General features: G+C 41.9%; 1 long non-coding RNA gene across 2 annotated transcripts in view, besides 2 other annotated features; it reads left to right on the plus strand.

The window, feature by feature from the left end:
* Window positions 10,353-10,538: a silencer, noted in NCBI's record as "fragment chr6:53587553-53587738 (GRCh37/hg19 assembly coordinates)". NCBI's record gives its function as "represses an EF-1alpha promoter that drives an FKBP-Casp9 reporter gene in an ReSE screen in K562 erythroleukemia cells {active_cell/tissue: K562}" and the evidence as "EXISTENCE:reporter gene assay evidence [ECO:0000049][PMID:32094911]".
* LOC124901334 (uncharacterized) overlaps window positions 14,174-20,255 on the plus strand; it is a 47,524-nt gene continuing 41,442 nt past the window's right edge. Inside the window, exon 1 of one of the 2 annotated variants that reach the window (XR_007059621.1) lies at window positions 14,174-14,553. This is a non-coding gene — a long non-coding RNA (uncharacterized LOC124901334). The remainder of the gene's footprint in view (window positions 14,554-20,255) is intronic. The other variant, XR_007059620.1, reaches the window with a different exon arrangement.
* Window positions 17,832-18,349: an enhancer, noted in NCBI's record as "NANOG hESC enhancer chr6:53595032-53595549 (GRCh37/hg19 assembly coordinates)". NCBI's record gives its function as "activates a minimal SCP1, AML or CMV promoter by ChIP-STARR-seq in primed H9 embryonic stem cells {active_cell/tissue: H9 hESC(primed)}" and the evidence as "EXISTENCE:reporter gene assay evidence [ECO:0000049][PMID:30033119]".

Genomic DNA, 20,255 nt, shown 5'->3' on the forward strand with positions numbered 1-20,255 from the left:
AGGGGGATAGAAGGGGCATGATCAGGAAGGATGCTGGTGATCCTATGAAGGGAACAGTGTGCCTGGAGGGGCCTTCCCAAGAAGAGGAGTCAGCAGCGGGAGACAGCATTGCAAGATTTTAAACTAGCCGCCAGAAGCACTGATGACTTGAAATAAAGAGAAGGGTATTCAGGAAAAAGTCAAAACAGAAATGTAGAGGGGCAATAAGAGCATGTAAGCTGTTCTTACCAAACTAGTAAATGGGAGCTTTGAGTTTGGGGGATGTGCCAATTACAGGGTCAGGAGAAAAAGTCCCATCCAATAGGTAACCTTGCCTTAGACAGCTGGGATGCCCAAAGGGCCATACCCCTTGCAGGACCCGCTGGATAACATAGGGGGCCCAGGGCAAAATAAAAATGTGGGCTACTTGGTAAGACGATATTAAGATTTTCAAGATGCTGTCATCAAGATTATTAAACCAAGTAAAAGGCTGTTCTGGACACATTGTCTTGACCAATCCCTTATGAAAGAGTGGACTAGATGTAAGCCTGAGTCCCATCAACTCTAGCAGAATCTTTCTAAGCATCCATAACCCAGCCTTCATGTGGATTTGCAGCCTAAATTCATATTATCTGGGTCATCCAAAAATACCTCCAGCCAAGTATTTAGTATAAAGGATACCTGGGTTGAGAGTGCTACAAGGAGCCAGACAGAAGCAAAGGCAGTTTTCTTTGTTGGAATTAGCTTCAGTGCAAAGTCTAAATCAGTCCCTCCATATAAAGTTTCAAGAAAAAAACCATTTCCTCATGAGAAATCATAAGTTACCCAACGAAGAAAGACACTATGAATAAGAACTAACAGAAATAAGTACATAACTTTAAAAAAGACCCACAAAGCATTTTCTACTATTGCCATTATCAGACACACAATATTAAAAGGTAGTTTAATGTTTTAAAAAATTAAGGTCCTAGGTTGTGTGCGGTGGCTCATGCCTGTAATCCCCGCACTTTAGGAGGCTGAGGCGGGTGGATCACTTGAGGTCAGGAGCTTGAGACCAGCCTGGCCAACATGGTGAAACTCCATAAAAACACAAAAATTAGCCAGGCATGTTGGTGCATGCCAATAATCCCAGTTACTCAGGACGCTGAGGCAGGAGAATCACTTGAATGGTGGAGGCGGAGGTCGCAGTGAGCTGAGATCGTGCCCCTGTACTACAGCCTGGTTGACAGAGAGAGACTTGGTCTCAAAAAACAAACAAATAAAACAAAAACAAAAACAAAACAAAACAACAAAAAATTAAGGTTCTAGTGTGACACTGTGCTATAATTTTACAACACATTTTATAGTTTCATTACCACCATGCGAAACTGGGTAAATGGCACATGGGAGCTCTCTGCATTATTCCTTACAACTGCGTGTGAGTCTATAATTATCTCGAAATTAAAAGCTTAATTTAAAAAAATGAAGGAAAAACTGAAAAACCTGAATAATGAATAGGATTATAAAGAAGCTGAACATCTAAGTTTGAAAAAGAAGCAAATACAACCACAAGAAATGAAAAAAAAAAAAAAAAAAGAAAAAAATTCTGCAGGCTGAAGAATTAGTGAACCACAGTGTTCTGAAGAAATTTTCCAGAATGCAGTAAAGAGAGAAAAAGAGATGGAAAACCTGATAGAGAGATTAAGACAAAGTAAGTAGACCTAACAGACATCCAGTTAGCGTTCTTGATGAAGAGGAGACAGTGAAGATGGGGAAGAAAAAATACCTGAAGAGATGATGGCTAGTTTTTCACAGTTGGCGAAGGACACTAATCCACACAAAACATGTCATAATGAAAAAGTAGCCAGGGTGAAAGAGGATTACCCTCAAAGGGAAAAAACTAGGCTGCTGACTTTTTGACAGCGTCTTTAAAACCTTCCCACACATAGTGAAAACCTTTCAATGATTTTCTGTCAGTTTCTGGATAGAGGCAAGAACAGCATAGCCTACAATTCTGTGCCTAGCCTTTTTCGGGGCCACTGTCCCTGCAGCGGTCTGAGCTCCATGGCTTTCTTTCAGTTTCTTGTATACTGCTGTCTTTCCTCATGGCTGGGGACTTCAGACAGGATGTTCTCTTTGCCTGAAATATTTTCTACTTTTCCCCTCCTTTAATCTAGTTAGCTACCACTCGTCCTTCAGGACTCTGATAAAATGTCCCTTTCCTGGAAAGCATAGTGAAAATTTGTTAGTTTCTGTGTTTGTTTGCTTTCCTGCCCAACATCTGACCTCCACGTCCTACTTAAGGGGACTCTTATAAATTATATCCTTTGACTGATAAGGTTTGAAACTTAATATTCAGAATAGCTATTAAAAGGTATTCAACATATGCAATAGGACCACATACAAGTAAAACGTACTTTTCTTATGTATTTCAGTGAAATGTCTCGTTACTTAATAAGTAATAAGAAAACATAGTATTTTTCTTATGTGAAGTATTTTATCTTCACATCTTCTAAATTCCAATATAAATTCAGTTGAAGTACTTCCACAAACACCTTTATAAAGCTGCATGGCCACTTTTAAGAAAATAGATAAAAAAGTCTGTCTTCCTTGACAGGTGCAAAGGGTGAAAGGCACCCCGTCCATAAGAGTGAGCTAGGGTCATATTGTTTCTCAGTGGTGAAGTACTGTAGTCAACTCTTTCTCTGAACTTCAAAGCAAGCTGACTTTGTCTTTAACCACATATGGGTTTGGCTCAAGGACAAAGAAGATCTTTGTTTATGGGACTCTGGGAGCATTCAGTAATTTTTCAGGTGGAGGGTGACCTGCAGAATTGTTCATTTAAATGACATGCCTTATCAGAAGCCAGAAAGAAGACTTCCTCATGAAATGCTCTTCAACCTCTGCACTTTCCTAAGATGTTTATTGAAAAGGCTCTTTGTAGAAAAATAGTTTGAGAGTGACTTCTAAAAGGTAGTTTTTAAAGTAATAAATATTGATTTTTTTAATCCAAAGAGGTATAAAAACAAGCCAAAACATGGACCACGATCCCCCCATCCACTTAACCCACTTATAAATTTAATCTTTACAGAACTGTACAAAACCAATAGGATTAGCTGCAACCTCATTCCCTTCTTATCCCCAACATTCCATTATAAAAAAGCAAATATCCTAAAATACTATCTATTTATAAAGTACATATTTTTGTACAAAAGTAATTATGCTATCCAGCACTTTGCTATTTGTGCTTAATATATACAAAAAGGAATTTAACCCTGGGTAGTTCTAACTGTATGAATCATTGCTTTACAATAAAACAGAATAAAAACTATAGGGCAGTTAGAATGATGCTTTTAGCCCAGCCTAAAAAACTCAGAGGGATGTAGCATCATCAGATAACTTTTTGGACTACCTTTGTGACCAAAAAAAAAAGGCTTTGGCTACTGTCACGGATCAGGCTACAGGTTTTACAGGTAGACTTGAATTCAAGCTGTAGAATTGACAAGTTAGGTTGTCCTTGGGCAAATAACCTCCTAACCCCAAATGTCCTTATCTAAACAGTGGAGCAAACAACACTTAGATTACAGGGTTGTTGTAAGCAATTTTTTGTTTGTTTCTTTGTTTTTTTGTTTTGAGACTGAGTCTCACTCTGTCACCCAGGCTGGAGTGCAGTGGTGAGATCTCAGCTTACTGCAACCTCTGCCTCCTGGGTTTAAGCAATTCTTGTGCATCAGTCATCTAAGTAGCTGGAATTACAGGTGTGCACTATCACATCTGGCCTTTTTTTTTTTTTTTTTTTGTATTTTTAGCAGAGACAGGATTTCACCATGCTGGCCAGGCTGGTCTCAAACTCCTGACCTCAAGTGAGCCACCCACCTTAGCCTCCCAAAGTGCTGGGATTACAGGAGTGAGCCACCATGCCTAGCCCTATTGTGAGCAATAATGAAATAATATATATAAAGCACTTAGCACTGTGGTCACATAGGAATCCTGCAGAAATTATAATTTTTTTAAAACTTTTTTTAAAAAGGTTGGTAAATAGGTAGCCTCCAAGTTTTCGTGCTTGCCTTAATTCCATCTTCTGGGAGAAGCCTGTAGGTCTTCTGTAAAAGGGAGTCCTTTCAGGCCCCGCTTCATGGTTTAGTGTCCAAGGTAATGTCTTGGTCCACCAGACAGCGCTTTCCTAGCCTGTGCTCTTCAGTCATGACTAAATCTTCTTCATTTGCATTGAAATCTTCTCTTTTATTTTTACATTTTCTACAAGAAGCAATTCCTCTTGTTTGGCAGAACATTGGCTGCACTAATTAGGATGACTTCAACGAAGGGCAAATCACAGAGAGCAACTCGAATAGGGTGTCTACTTGGGCATGGTTGTAGTTCATATTGACCGGAATACATGACCCAAAGCAGGTTTGGAACAGAGAGCACAGAAGCAAAGCGAAAAGATGGAGAGTTTCGTTTTAGTGAGTTCAATGCATCTGTGAGGAAATGTCCAAAAATGCGTTGGACTGTTGGTCATCAGCCTATGAGAAGGACTTGGGGGATTGGGGATACAAATTTAGAAGTCATCAATGCACAGGAGATTGGACCTGGGAAAAGACACCTGGAGAACTATTTTAGGCACAAAAAGATAAAGGAGAGCCTGCAAAGGAGCCTGGGAAGAGGTGGTCAGAGGTAGGAGGAAGGTGAAAAGTTTAGTTTTCAGGAACCAGTAGAGGAGGGTTTTAGGAATGAAGACTGGTTGACCATGTCCAGTGCTGCAAAGAGATCAGGTAAGTAAAGAACTGAAAGATTTCAGATTTCCATCACTCCACAAAGGTTCCTCATATTGGATTGTGATAATGGTGTGTATGCTCTGACACTGATTCTATGACTTCAACTGGGTGCCCAACACTTCAATTCCTCTCTGATACTAAACACCTGGAGTTAGCACAGACCCCACATGCGAAGGGCTCAGTCCCCAAATTGCCTTCACATCTGACATCAGCCACCAATCTCAGGTATCCCAAGCTACCTGTACTTCTGCCTAGCTGACTACAAATTTGGGGGATCTCATGACCTCCCTCAGGTTCAGTAATTCACTAGAATGGCTCACAGAACTCACTGAGAGTGCTACAGTTTTATAATAAAGGAAACAACTTAGGAATAACCAAATGGAAGAGATGGATAGAACAAGATATGAGGATAGGGGAATACAGGGCTTCCATGTACCACCCTCCTAGCACATGATGTGTTCACCAGCTGGAAAGCTCTTCGAGTCTCATGGTCCAAGGGTTTTATATAGGTTCCATTATGCAGATATGACTGATTAAACCACTGGTCACAAGACTGAACTCCATGTCTAGTCTCTTTCCCCTTCCCACAGGTCAGAGGGTGGAGTTAAAAGTTCTAACCCTCTAATCACATGGCTGGCTTCTCTGGTGACCAACCCCCATCTGGAAGCTAAGGGCCTTGTCATGAGTCACCTCTTTAGCATAAACTCAGGTACAGTCAAAAAGGGCTTGTTATGAATAACCAAATATCCTCCTATCAGGAAATTCAAATTCCCAAGCTTTGTGCCAAGAACCTGGGGACAAAGATCAAATGTATTTTTTAAATTAAAGCATAATAAAATAAAATAAGAATTATTATTTATTTTATTTTTTATTATATTATTACCAAATTATTTTCGACCTAGCAATTCCACTTTGGAAATTTTTTCCTGGCATACACATGAAATTATCTATGTGCAAGGTCAGTCACTGGAGCATTGTTCGTTAGCAAAAGGGTGGGGAAAAACATTTCAATAGGGAACTGGTTAGAATTTATGATATGCTCATAGAAAGGAATGACATGCAGCTTTAGAAAAATAGAATGAAGAGGCTTTCTACCTACTGATGTGAAAGGATCTAAAAGAGACACGGTAGCAAAGTATAAATACTTTGTATATTATAGTATACTTTGCTTTGTATAGTTTGTTTCCTTTTGTATAAAAATGGGGAAGATGGTAATTTATGTTTGTATTCACTTGTATCAGCAGAGAAAAACCCTAAGAGGACAGGACACCACCTTGGACAAATGGTCCCTTAGTGGACATGTTTATGGGGGACTGGACAGATGCAGAGAATTGTAGGAAAATGTTCTGCTGGATACGTAAATATTTGTGTTTTCTATTTTCTGATTTTGGGATCACATAAATTTAAAAATTAAAATTAAAATATTTTTAATTGAAGAAAAATGGTGAGGCAGAGAATGGCAGGCTTTGACCTTTATAAGGGTATTAGACTCATACGTGGATTTCTGAAAATAATTCTCAGATCCCGCCTAGAGATTCTGATTCGGTCTGCTTGGGGCAAAGCCAGCACCTGTTTTTTCATTAAGCCCCACAGTAATGAAAACACCTGGCAAGCCACTGCATTGCTGAGTTAGATGTCGGTGCAGTCGGCACAGGTAGAGGGAAATGAGGGGCCCATGATGGGGTGAGAGCTGGCAACATTTGAAGGTTTTCACTAATAAAAGTTCCTGATTGATATGAATAAAAGAGATTGGAGAGGAAGTATGGAGAGAAAGGGTCACTTTTCACATTGCCTCAGTTATGATTCTTGGAAGAATCTGACAATAACTCCACATCAAAAGAAAAAATAAAAGAGCTTTTACCATTCCATGATTGACCTCCACTTTGAGCATTAGGCTTTCTGGCTATGTAGTGTCCACTAGAGGTCACTGTGCTCATGTTTCTGTGGAGACAGAAAACATTGGCACCTGCTGCTGCTTAGCTAGTCAGTCATTTATCTTAACAACGGCTTGTTGAGCTTTGGTTTCAAAATGAGTCTTCCTCATAAAAAACTAAATCCAAAAAGCAGTACACTCAGAAGTCTCTCAACATCGGAAAGGAGAACTCAGAAAGCAGAGAGAGAAATACTTCCAGAAATATCAGTGAGTTGATAATAAATTAGAAGAGTCTACTTAGTCCTGAAAGATTTTTTTTCCCAAGGCAGTAATAAGTTAGGAAGGTATCTGAGACTTATTCTCAATTTTGAATCCTTTTTCTTGACTTTTGAACACGATGGGGTCAATTCTCACTGATTAACCAGATATAGGTCTACGGGTTGTATATATTTTGGGATACACATAGTGGCTAAGGTGGCTTCACTTAGGCAAATAGGAAATTTGACTCAAGTATTTAAGGTAATACTTATTATTTAACTTTTCGGAACTTGTTTCTATGAAGACCAAATTACTGAAAGCATTAAAAAACAAAGCAAAATAAGAACAGGGCATAAGGACACAGAATACCCACAATAAGACTATTTGCCTATAATGGTTTTAACTCGAGGTAACCTCTTTATGGATCTTGTCAGATGGAACTATAACTCATTTCAGGGTTCTCAGAATGGGAGTTATCTTAAGTCTGCAAATGACAGTATTTAAAAGTCTTTCAATGTGTAGCTCCTGAGTTTTTCTTAGACAACAGCGAGACTGTCTTGTGGCCTAATGGTAATTAGCTGATTGACAAATACCAGGCCTAAGTTCAAAAGTTGTATTAAGCTTTGTGTCATAATTCCGTTGGTGATAATAAAATCAAGTGGACTTCCAAATACTGTGTTCATTGATTTTTTTTTAAATCAATCAATTTTTTTAAATTTTTTTGAAAGGTAATACTGTGCTTTAAACATGTATTTATTATATATAGATAGATTATATTATATATTATACATAGGGAGATGCAGATGCATCTGTCTATCTATCTGTCAACTATCTATCTCAATAGCTTTTGGAGTATAAGTGGTGTTTGGTTATATGGATGAATTGTACAGTGGTGAAACCTGAGGTGTTAGTAGACCTGTCACCTGAGTAGTGTACATTATACTCAATATATAGTGTTTTTAATCCCCTACTCCCTTCTCACCCTTCCACCTTCTGTACTTCTGAGTCTACAAAGTATTATATCAGTCTGTACGCCTTTGTGCACTCATAACTTAGCTCCCACTTATAATAGAGAACATAAAGTTTTTGGTTTTCCATTCCTGAGTTACTTCACTTAGAATAATGGCCTCCAGCTCCATCCACGTTGCTGCAAAAAACAAATCTAGTTCTTTTTTATGGCTGAGTAGTATTCCATGATGTATATATACCACATTTTCTTTATCTACTCATTGGTCGATGGGCACTTAGGTTGGTCCCGTGTCTTTGCAATTGTGAATAGTGCTGTGATAAAAATATGTGTGCAGGTGCCTTTTTCTTTTTCTTTCTTTTTCTTTTTTTTTTTTTTTGAGACAGAGTCTTGCTCTGTCACCCAGGCTGGAATGCAGTGGTGTGATCTCGGCTCACTGCAACCTCTGCCTCCCAGGTTCAAGTGATTCTCCTGCCTCAGCCTCCCAGGTAGCTGGGACTACAGGCACGTGCCACCACGCCTGGCTAATTTTTGTATTTTTAGCAGAGATGGGGTTTCACTATGTTGGCCAGGCTGGTCTCGAACTCCTGACCACAGCTGATCAGCCCGCCTCAGCCTCCCAAAGTGCAGGGATTACAGACGTGAGCCACCGGGTCCTGCCGAGGGTGTCTTTTTTCTTTTTTTACTTTTTAATAATGGCCATTCTGGCTGGGGCTAGGTGGTATCTCATTGTGGTTTTAATTTGCATTTTCTGATGATTAGTGATGTTGACCATTTTTTCATATGTTTATTGGCCATTTGTATATCTTCTTTTGAGAAATGTCTACTCACATCCTTTGTCCACTTTTTGATGGGACTCTTTTTTTTTTTTCTTGCTGATTTGTTTGAGTTTCTTTCTTTTTTTTGAGACAGAGTCTTGCTGTGTTGCCCAGGCTGGAGTGCAGTGGCACAATCTTGGCTTACTGCAAGCTCCACCTCCTGGGTTCACGCCATTCTCCCGCCTCAGCCTCCTGAGTAGCTGGGACTACAGGCACCCGCCAACACGCTGGCTAATTTTTTTGTATTTTTAGTAGAGACAGGATTTCACCATGTTAGCCAGGATGGTCTCGATCTCCTGACCTCGTGATCCACCTGCCTCAGCCTCCCAAAGTGCTGGGATTACAGGCGTGAGCCACCGCACCCGGCCTTATTTGAGTTTCTTATAGATTCTGGATATCAGTCCTTTGTCAGCATAGTTTACAAATATTTTGTCCCATTCTACGGGTTGTTTACTTTGATGATTATTTCTTTTGCTGTTCAGAAGCTTTTCTAGTTTAATTAGGTCCCATTTATTTTTTTTTAAACGTGTATTTATATTATGTCCCAGACATTTGAAGGGCCACCTGATCTAGATATCACAGAGATGTGTGCTGGATTGTCTGCAGACAGGTCAGCACTGCTTCTCCTAAGGCGAGGGGCTGTTTACCACGATCCTCTTCTGTCTATGATTCTGGGTAAGAGTTGCCAGGAGAAGAACTCGAAGGAAGGCAGATGTGAGCAAGAGGCCGTTATCCCTGGAAGGTTATGGGGCTGACACGGTGACCTATAGACACAGAGGGGCCAGCAGGCACCAGCTTGGCCTGGCTGTTCTCTGCTCATTGTCCAGCCTGTCTTCTCAACTTGTAATCTGACCAACCAACAGCAGCCCAAAGCCCACCAACCAGCACTTGGCTGAGGCCCACAGCACTGGGAGTTCCATGGAGGTGGAAGTTTCCACAGGCCTCTCTATGAGCTCTTCCTTGGTGGTCCCATGTTGGTGGCCCATGTACACAGCTTCTCCACATCTTTCCACAAGCTGTCACCCTCCCACCCAGCTTGCTGCAGCCCAAGGAGGTTAGCAACTTTCTCTGATCCTCCAACTCTCCATCCAGACCTCCTGTACTACCCAGCTCCTCTCACATTCTGTAAGCTTCAATTTCAGTATTAAACCCCAAATCCCTATAAGACTTGGAATGGCTCTGTTTTCCCGTGTGAACTCTAACTGATACAGGCTGTTTTAAGTTTGGCTGTGGTTTAAAAAAAAAAAAGAGCTTGGTTGAGCACTTAGGGAAGAAGAGATGTGCTAACATTTACTAAATAGTCTCCAAAGCTTTAAGATAGCACCATAATAACTGTTTATTGTGGATAAAAACATGGACTTGGTCATCAGACAAATTGGTTTCACCAATTCATAACTATGGCATAACTCCTGGCAGCTTAATTTCTCAGAACCTTATTTTCCTCCTTTATAAAGTGTGGAATTGATTATTCCTTCTTCGTAGTATTGTTCTGAGGATTAAATGAGATAAGATATTCAGCGTTTAGCCAGTATCCAGCATAAAGTGATAATAATTTTTAAAAAGCTACTATCATAGATCTCTTATTTAAGATCTGAGAGTTTCTGGGAATATTGCAGAAAACATCCTAAAAATATCACTGCTAACCTAACTACAAATGCTAGATTAAGACTTAAAAAAAATCTTTTAAAATAGACAGTTCACAGTGACAAGGGAATAAGGTCTTCAAAGGCAGTCCATGCATGACTACGGACATGGCACAGATGCAGAGAGGACATGGCATCAAGGCCGTGGATGGGTTAAAGGGCATCTTTCCATGCACTGGGACCTGGAACTCTGATTTCAAGAGCTACATGGGATGCAGGGCCACATGGGAGGCAGGGACCTTGCAAGGTGATATTCAGTTCAGAAAGCCCCATTTAAGCTACGATTTCAAAGGGCTGCCCCACAAAGACTGAAAGTAAAAAACTTTGCTGGTCTTGACCTTTCCTCTAAGTAAAATGGAAAACAACAACAAACGAACAAACAAAACCCACCTCTCCTAAGAACGCATAGTAAGAACAAGCTCCTGGCGGCTGGGTGTGGTGGCTCACGCCTGTAATCCCAGCACTTTGGGAGGCTGAGGTGGGCCAGTCACCTGAGGTCAGGAGTTTGAGACCAGCCTGGCCAACATGGTGAAATCCCGTCTCTATAAAAAATTACAAAAATAAGCCAGGTGTGATAGTGCATGCCTGTAATCCCAGCTACTTGGGAAGCTGAGGCAGGAGAATTGCTTGAACCCGGGAGGCGGAGGTTGCAGTGATCCAAGATTGTGCTCCAGCCTGGGAGATAGAGTGAGACTCTGTATCAAAAACAAACAAACAAACAAACACCAAAAAACTTCTGTGCAGGTTTGGGGCTCCAACTCACACTGCTTGCATGGTCTCTCCAAATCCCAAGCCAAGAAGGTAAAGTAGTAGTACCAGGCTGGTAGCATTCTTCTCCCTTATGCTCCTGGCCAAAGCAAACATAAATTCTTTCTGGGTAAACCAACAACAACCCAGACATACAGCATTCCTGCAGATAATGCTCCAATAACTATGAACTCACAGAATCAAATAATTTTTTTTTGTAAAAAAAGGAAACAAAGTCCAATAAGCAGGAGTTAGCTAAGAAAACCTGCAGAGGAATCACATTTACAAAGATTTCAGATGTTAACGTTAGTGTTTGCAGAATATAAATGATTTAGAAGTTTGAGGAAGAAATTAGGAAATCAGAATTACATACCAGGAAGAGACTGTTAACTGACTAGGTAGATTTCAAAAGAAACAATTGTACGCTCACCCCTCCCACTGCCCTCACACAAAACAAATGAAAACAACATTCAATGGATGGACTGAACAACAGATTAGGTGCAGGCAGAGAGTATTGGTGTACTGAGAATTATCTGAAGAAATTACACAGACTATAGTACGAAGACACAAAATAAATGGGAAATATCACAGACAAGCTAAAAAAAAAAAAAAAAAAAGAGGAGATTTAATATTAAAGTTCCAGAAGGACAGAAAAGAGAATGGGGAGAAGATACTAGCTAAGAATTTTCCGAAAGTGATATGATATGTGATGTGGTGTGCTGTTCCATAGATCCAGGACGCCTGAAGGGCCCCACGCAAAAAATAAAAAAATAAAACTACAAAAAAAACTCTCACCAAAGTACATCATAATCAAATTTCATATTATCAAAGATAAAAAGAAGCTCTTAAAAGCAGCCAGAGAAAAGACATATTTACAAAGAACTGCATTTAGACAGAGTTCAACTTTATTTTATTACCATGATTGCTCTGAGGAACTGATTCCTACATGCCAGCCATTAGCCCTCGTTTCTTTGAATGCTGCCCAGATGGGCCTGCAGTATTGCCAGGTGGACCTCTGCACAAGTAGTAGCAGTTACATTCATGTCTTATTTCAGGTAAGTGGGATTATGTCCATTTTGATGTCTCCCCTGGAAGTCTGACCTGAAAGGATTGTATCAACCAATCCTCTTATCCTCTGGGAAAAGGAGACAAAGGACAAAGGACAGGAAAGGAAGGGGAGGGGAGGGGAGGGGAAGGGGAGGGGAGGGGAAGGGGAGAGAAGGGAGAGGAGGGGAGGGTGTGGTCACCTGGGGCTGGCTGCAACCTAAGATCACTGTCCTTCTTACAAGTTGGACTTCTCTCCACGGACTCTCTCTTCAGCAACCCCATGAGTACTCCCTCCCCTCCCTCAGATTCAGGTGTAGTGACAGCTTGCTGTTAAAGCTCTGAGCTACTTTCTGCACCATCTCATGAGGGTCCCTTGCACTCTGCCCATGCATTAGTAAATAAACCATCCCAGAATGATCCTACCTTGGGCATGCCATCTGCTTCCTGTTAGGAACCTGACTGAATAACTTTCCAGCTTCTTCAGGACTCTGGAAACTCTTTGAGAGCTAGAATCCACTTTTCTTGCTTTTGATTCTCTCTGCATTTAGGGGAGAAATATTCCAGAAAGACTGATAGAAATACCAGCATTATGAAATAGAAATATAAAACACGTGCTCACCAAAAGCCTTCCTTAAACTCACTCTGTTTCCATCAAAATGAAACGATGGAGGTTGAGTACTGTCTATCACTCTTGGAGATGCTGTCTGTGTGGTCCACGTGTAGTTGGTTTCTTGGGCTAGTTCTCATGTGAAGCAAATCCCTGTCCCTAAGTGTCTCTTATCGTTTGCTGCACAAAATTAGGGAAAGCATGGAAAGTTTTTGGAAGTGTTTCATGAGACTTAGGAAGGCCACTGTAGCCCCTGATTAGCTCATTTTATATCCCTGAAGTGAACATGTGCCATGTCTGTACTGAGATAAATCACCGTTTCAAATAATCTCAAAATTCCCTTCTCTCGTTACCTCTGAAGCAGCCTATTTCCATGTTCACTGCAGAAAAGTCTCATTACTCAGCCGGGCGCGGTGGCTCACGCCTGTAATCCCAACACTTTAGGAGGCCGAGGTAGGCGGATCACTTGAGGTCAAGAGTTCAAGACCAGCCTGGCCAACATGGTGAAATCCCGTTTCTACTAAAAATACAAAAATTAAATTAGCCGGGCGAGGTGACGCGGGCCTATAGTCCCAGCTACACGGGAGGCTGAGGCAGGAGAATCGAGAATCGCTTGGACCCGGGAAGTGGAGGTTGCAGTGAGCCGAGATCGCGCCACTGCCCTCCAGCCTGGGAGACAGAGAGATACTCTGTCAAAAAAAAAAAAAAAAAGTCTCATTACTCAAAGTTATTAAAGCAATTGTTACCTTTGGTGCCTACCCTTTTCCTGGTCATATTTCAAAGCAACCTTCCTTGCTAGATAATTTATTCTATGCTTGTTTTATGAATGGCTTCCCTGTGACTCCTCCAGCTGCTGAAATCCTGCGCTCCCCAAATGGTGCGCTTGAGTAGCTGCTCTGCCCTGCGCTGCCCTCTAGCGGCACAAGTGTGTCAGAGCAGCGGCTCCCCTGCCTTCCCGCAGCAAGGGGCTGCCAGTATTGAATTCTCCAGCCCTCACCATTTCTCGGCCTCCAGTTTCCTGTTTCTTGCTAGAGTTCTCCCTCGCTGCAGCCTCTTGACCAGAAGAGGATCAACTTGAATGGTCAGCGGCTTTCCTGAACCCTAGTTTGAGTCAAAGTGCCCCCGAAATACAGAAAATCTTGCTGTACACCCTACACCACTTTGGAGCAACTCGTTCGGAATGCAGCCCTTTTGACGTTAACCTCCCATTCAGCACCCTTGGCAAGCTGAAAAAAAGATGTGGCTGGGCCAGATTCACCACCCTTATCCCCACCTCCTCTTACATCTTTCTCCACCCTCCCATCACACTCTCTCCTGACGGAGAGGAGCTATTTGGAAAGACAAAGTAACATGACAAAATTAAGTAATATGTCAGCATAATAATTGGAGGTGAGTGGTACCAGCAGTAAGGGTTGTCAGTCGTGTGGATGCTTTTTTTTTTTTTTTTTTGACGGAGTCTCGCTCTGTCGCCCAGGCTGGAGTGCAGTGGCGCTGGATCTTGCCTCACTGCAACCTCTGCCTCCCGGGTTCAAGCAATTCTCCTGCCTCAGCCTCCCGAGTAGCTGAGACTACAGGCATGCACCACCATGCCCAGCTAATTTTTGTATTTACTTTAGTAGAGACGGGGTTTCACCATGTTGACCAGGCTGGTCTCGAACTCCTGGCCTCAGGTGATCTGCCCGCCTCGTCCTCCCAAAGTGCTGGGATTACAGGCGTGAGCCACCGTGCCTGGCCCTTGTAGGTGCTCTAAGATGAAGAATTCCAAACTGCTAACCGTCAGCACACGTCGTTCATAAGAAAGCACAGCAGAGGATGCCATCCAGAGTCCAGGATGAAGCCAAGAGGGAGCCTCTGGAGCCGGTAAATCTGTCTCTGTTATTCAGTGATGAGGCTGGGACTCTCAAGGAAGGGCAGAAAGGCACCCAGAGGATTCTGAAGAGAGAGACCAAAGGGAGGGGCTTTCCAATGCCTATCTGAGGGGGACCCTTTACAAATTACAAAGTGACTAATGAAAAAGGTAAAAATGAACATTTTGCAACATTATCTACCCTCTGCATACTCATTTCTATTTTCATATTGTTTTCTTTGTGATAACGTATTTTACCTGCGAACTATCTCAGGTGTTGAAGTGCAAGTTAAAAAATTACATAAGTTGGGGCGCGGTGGCTCACGCCTGTAATCTCAGCACTTTGCGAGGCCAAAGCTGGTGGATCACTTGAGGTCAGGAGTTCAAGATCAGCCTGGACAACACGGTGAAACTCCGTCTCTACTAAAAATGCAAAAGTTAGCCTTGGTGGCGCAGGCCTGCAAGCCCAGCTACTCAGGAGGTTGAGGTGGGAGAATCGCTTGAACCCAGGAGGCAGAGGTTGCAGTGAGCCAAGATCACCCCACCACACTCCAGCCTGAGCGACAGAGCAAGACTCCATCTCAAAACAAACAAACAAACAAAACTGAGGTGTAGATTGTAATCTCAGAAAAAAAGTCACATAATATTAAAGTAGAAGGTTCAATTATTTCCTGGTGCTAAAAGAAAATGATATTGCCCGCGTCCCTAGCTGTCATCTTATGTTTCCCCTGTGAAATATCACCAGTGTATAACTCAGTAGGCCTCAACCCTGACTGCACTGTAAAATAACCTAGAGAGTTTTCAAACATTGAATCAGAACAGGGAGGTAGAGAGAGAGCTGGACATCTGAAAGTTCCCTGATTGATGTGAACGTGTAGCATGGCTTGAGAACCACATTAGCGTTCATCATTCCAGGTGCATTTGGTGGTGTGTCAGAGGAATGGGGACATTCCAACAAGATTGCTGTGAGGAGACCACCCTCACATAGCAGCCATCAGCCCTCATCATTCCTAGAGGACTACCCAGTCTGGTTCGTGGCATTCCCGGGTGTAACTCTGCTTACACAATAGGAATGATATTCAGATGGGCTCATTTCAGGTCAACGTGGTTATGCTGTTTTCTTCCTAAGTTGTTTTTACCCCAAATCTTCTGAAAACTAGAAGTTTATGGTTAAAAAACAACAGGTTTTAGTACTAGCTATTGGCTTTTTTCTTTTATTTTGCATTTGGATATTAATTTTCTCGGTTATATATTATTATACAGAAAACAGTTTCTCAAAAAAAAAATTCCCTCTTTTTCTTTTCTCTCTCCTTCACCCAGTGACTTCTGATTTGGCCTTTGAGCCTCCAACACTCTCAGCCATCCCATCTGCTCACCCCACCTGAAATCCCAGTTCCCCTCCTTTGAGCTCATATTGCATTTGGGACATTATTGTCTCTTGATTAATTCACTTGTCTGTCTGCCCACCTACACCGTAAACCTATAGAGGAAAATAACAAAGAAATACTTGTGTTTATATCCCCAGTTCTCAGTACAGTCTCTGGCACATGGAAAGGGCTGAAATATTTTAGTAAATGAAAGTTATCAAAGTTATGAAACTTCAGATTTCACTGGAAGAGTGTTTTCTTCCAATGAAATCCTGTTTCAATGCAATTTACGTAGTAGTGCTTGCCTGCCCACCCACTGTTCTGCTCCTAGAAGGGTGAAGTGCAGGGGTGGAAATGCTTTTAAGTGTGAAGGTCTGCTCAGCATTCAGCTCATCCTTCAAAGGAAACTTTTCAATTTCCCCTCCGGAGAAAGCGTCTGAAAACAGAAGTGGTCTGCTCTGCCCTCTAGCGGTGGCCCTGTGGCAGAACACTTTTAAAGATTGTCTTTGGAACTGCTATGTCAACGCTCTCCAGAGTGGTATTGGAATGCCAGTCTGTATAATAACCTGTATATTACCCAGTTATTATTTCAGCTTTTCGCCACTGTTTTCTGTAAGGGAGTCCTTTGCTCAAGGGTCTGTAGTTATATTCAGCAAGAACACCTCCCCAGAAGGAGGTTTGTGTGTTGAAGAACAGAGTCCTCAGCACTAGAAATCTCGGAGGGGTTCCTGGCAGCATCCCACAGGCCGCTTGAAATGTGTTTTTTTCTTTCATACTCCAGATCAAGGGTGTCCAATCTTTTGGCTTCCCTGGGCCACATTGGAAGAAGAATTGTCTTGGGCTACACATAAAAGATACTACACTCACGCCTGTAATCCCAGCACTTTGGGAGGCCGAGGCGGGCGTATCACGAAGTCAGGAGATCGAGACCATCCTGGCTAACGTGGTGAAACCCCGTCTCTACTAAAAATGCAAAAAAAATTAGCTGGGCGTGGTGGCGGGCGCCTGTAGTCCCAGCTACTGGGGAGGCCGAGGCAGGAGAATGGCATGAACCTGGGAGGCGGAGCTTGCAGTGAGTCGAGATCGCGCCACTGCACTCCGGCCTGGGCAACAGAGCAAGATTCCGTCTCAAAAACAAAACAAAACAAAACAAAACAAAACAAAACAAAACAAAACAATAAAACCACTACACTAATGATAGCTGATGAGCTAAAAATAAATAAATAAATAAATAATTTCATAATGTTTTAAGAAAGTTTACGAATTTGTGTTGGGCTGCATTCAAAGCCGTCCTGGTCTGCATGTGGCCTGCAGGCCGGGGACTGGACAGGCTTGCTCTAGATATTTTTCCTTACGGTACTGGAGCATTTGGGGAGATCAGGGCTGAGTAAGGCTCTAGGCATTACAGTCCCTCAGGGTTCATATTAAAATAAAATTCTACAATAATGACCCAATGTGGCCCAATACAGCTGACCCACAGTACATTATGAGGTATTTAATCAACTCTCTTTGGCTTAAAGAAAATATTTTTGTTTCTGAGTTTTATCGTGGTTGATAGTGGTGGTGTAGCAATTTGCTTATTTGTTTGCTGGGCTTTTTAATCAATCATGACGATAGAAAGCTGTTGTTGGGGCTTAAGGGAAGAAATGACAACCTAATCTGAAATGTCACCAAAGCCAGCAACTGTGGGGAACCTACCAAATAAAATCTGTTGATAAGATAAAAGGCTATTCGGATTCTGATCTGACAACCTTTTTTTTTTTTCTTTTTTTTCTTTTTTTTTTTTAGATAGGGGCTATGTGATGCGGAAGGTAAGGGAAGGTAGAGAAAAGTGTATAATATCTGCAAAAAGATCATTCCCATTGCCTGTATACACCACTGTTTCGTATGGACTGCATTTTTGCTGGCAAACTGCAAACACTTTCTCCAAACTGCAGACACATTTTGAGTCCCAACAATGTGCATGGTTCACAAAGCAATTTGTAGTCATGGTTTCTTTTACAAAATGATGATGTTTAAGAACATCTTGTAATTAGGTCAAAGGAAAACAGTGTTTATTCTATGAGCTGAGGATAGGCTGCAAGTCTGAGTTCTAATTAACACAGTGGTTGATTCACTAATGCCAAGTGTCTGTTGTTAATGAAGACATGAAAGCAGTCCCGCAGGTAACATTTTGTAAGGGGCTTCTTTACAGCAGCAGTTCACTTGGGCAAACAATGACAGCAATCCACACCCTCATCCAGTCTAATGAAATGCGTAGCTATTTACTGGATTCTTTTTACCTCAAACCCACTTGGGAGAAAATAGAGATTTTTCCCAATAAATGTGTACGGTAAGGCCTTTGGAAATATGCAAGTATTCATAGCTACAAGTATTAAACCATGCACTTTGAGCCAGTACGAATAGCAGCAAGGCTTAAGAGAGAAGGCTTTTTAAAAAATTTTTTTTATTTTTTATTTTTTTTCTAATGCTAGATCACAATGGACTTCATCAGAGCCCTGGAGAGCTAGAGTCAGAATAGGCCAAAGCAGGAACTCTTGCTCCACATTATGCTTTCTTTTTGCAGCATTAAGGCTTTGGCTGAAATGCTAATGATGAAAACAATCTCCTTGGGAACCTGTAGGTTTCCACCTTGTCCCAGGCCTGGAGAGATTAAAATGTTATGACAGTTGTGAAGTCCCTTTCTGGCAAAGCTCCATGATCTTGTGAAAAGTGTCAAAGGAGATGAATGAAAACAAAGAACTTCACCTGACCTCCAAGTGGAAGGCTGAAATAAAAAGTTAACCCTAGTCACTCCACTGTGGCAGAAATGTTACATATTCCTGCTGCCAAAATTCCTCAGTCCACTCTTGAAAACACAACAAACACATTCTCTCTCTCTCTCTCTAACTTCTTTTAGTCTTTCTGCAGAGCATGTTTTCTTTCTGGTGTTTCTTTATATGGGAGACAGGTAAAGGAGAGAAAGGATTGTTTAAGTGGATGAACCAGGCTGTATTTAAGAATTTTAGGCCAGGAAGGATGGCTCATGCCTGTAATCCCAGCATTTTGGGAGGCCGAGGTGGGCGATCGCCTGAGGTCAGGAGTTTGAGACCAGCCTGGCTAACATGGTGAAACCCTGTCTCTACTAAAAATACAAAAAAAGTAGCTGGGCGTGGTGGTGGGCGCCTGTAATGCCAGCTACTTGGGAGGCTGAGGTAGGAGAATCAATTGAACCTGGGAGGCAGAGGTTGCAATGAGCTGAGATCGTGCCATTGCACTCCAGCCTGGGTGACAAAAGCAAAACTCCATCTCAAAAAAAGAATTTTAATCCTCTTGCCAAAGGCATATGTCTAGATATCACATGGCTCTGACATCAGTAAGTTTATTATTTAAAATTTAAGAAAAAAAAATATATATATTTTTAGAAATAGAGATGGGGCCTCGCTATGTTGCCCAGGCTGGTCTTGGACTCCTGGGTGATTCTACTGCCTTGGCTTCCCAAAGTGCTGGGATTACAGATGGGAACCACTGTGACTGGATGATTAGTAAATTTAGACATGAACCCAAACTAAACCCACTCTCAGCTCCTACCTTTCCCTGTTGTCCAGAGCTGCCTGCACTCATTCCTTCCTCCCTTTACTGGCATCTGTTACCTTTCTACTCTTGAAGGAAAGCTTACTTCGCGATAATTTTCCTTCTCCATCTGTTTCTCTTGGCTCTGCAACTCATAAGACAGGATTGGAGAAAATATCACATGGATCACATAGTTTTGCATTTCAGAGACTCTAATGCAGTCATCTGGTGCTAGTCAAAGAATCTCAAAAGATCCACTTCCTCCTGAGTCTTCAATCTTGATGTGAGATAAGGGAAGGTCAAATGTGGTTTCCACTTTTAAAATATGGGTTACTGAGGCTGAAAATCTGAAAAAAGCCAGCTCCAAGCATTTGCTATCTTCACCATTTTTTTTCTCTACTCTCCCTTCAATTACTTTTCCTTCCTTGCTATTTCAATGCAGAATTTTCCGTGAGGAAGTTCCCAGCCCTTCCACCTTCCACCCCTTTAGCAGATCACCAGTAGGTTCCTGTATTGCAACAAGGGATATTTGAAGGTTTTACTTCCTAGCAGTGATAAGCTGGTGGGTGAGGGCCTTCTCAGTTCCCTAGGATCATGCCCCAGCAGAGACTACCTCGAGGTGAATGTGGTCAAGTTTTCCCTGGAAAAGGCAGTCATTCCAAAAGCCTGTTCTGGGACTTGGCTCAGTCACTAGCACAACCTGCAAAGTGTGGATTTTTTTTTTTTTTTTTTTAACAATAGACTGACAACGGTTACTGGTATGAAATTTCTTTCCCTTCATTTGCTTTTCACCTCAG

The sequence above is a fragment of the Homo sapiens genome, chromosome 6, assembly GCF_000001405.40.
Source record: "Homo sapiens chromosome 6, GRCh38.p14 Primary Assembly".
Lineage (NCBI taxonomy): Eukaryota > Metazoa > Chordata > Mammalia > Primates > Hominidae > Homo > Homo sapiens.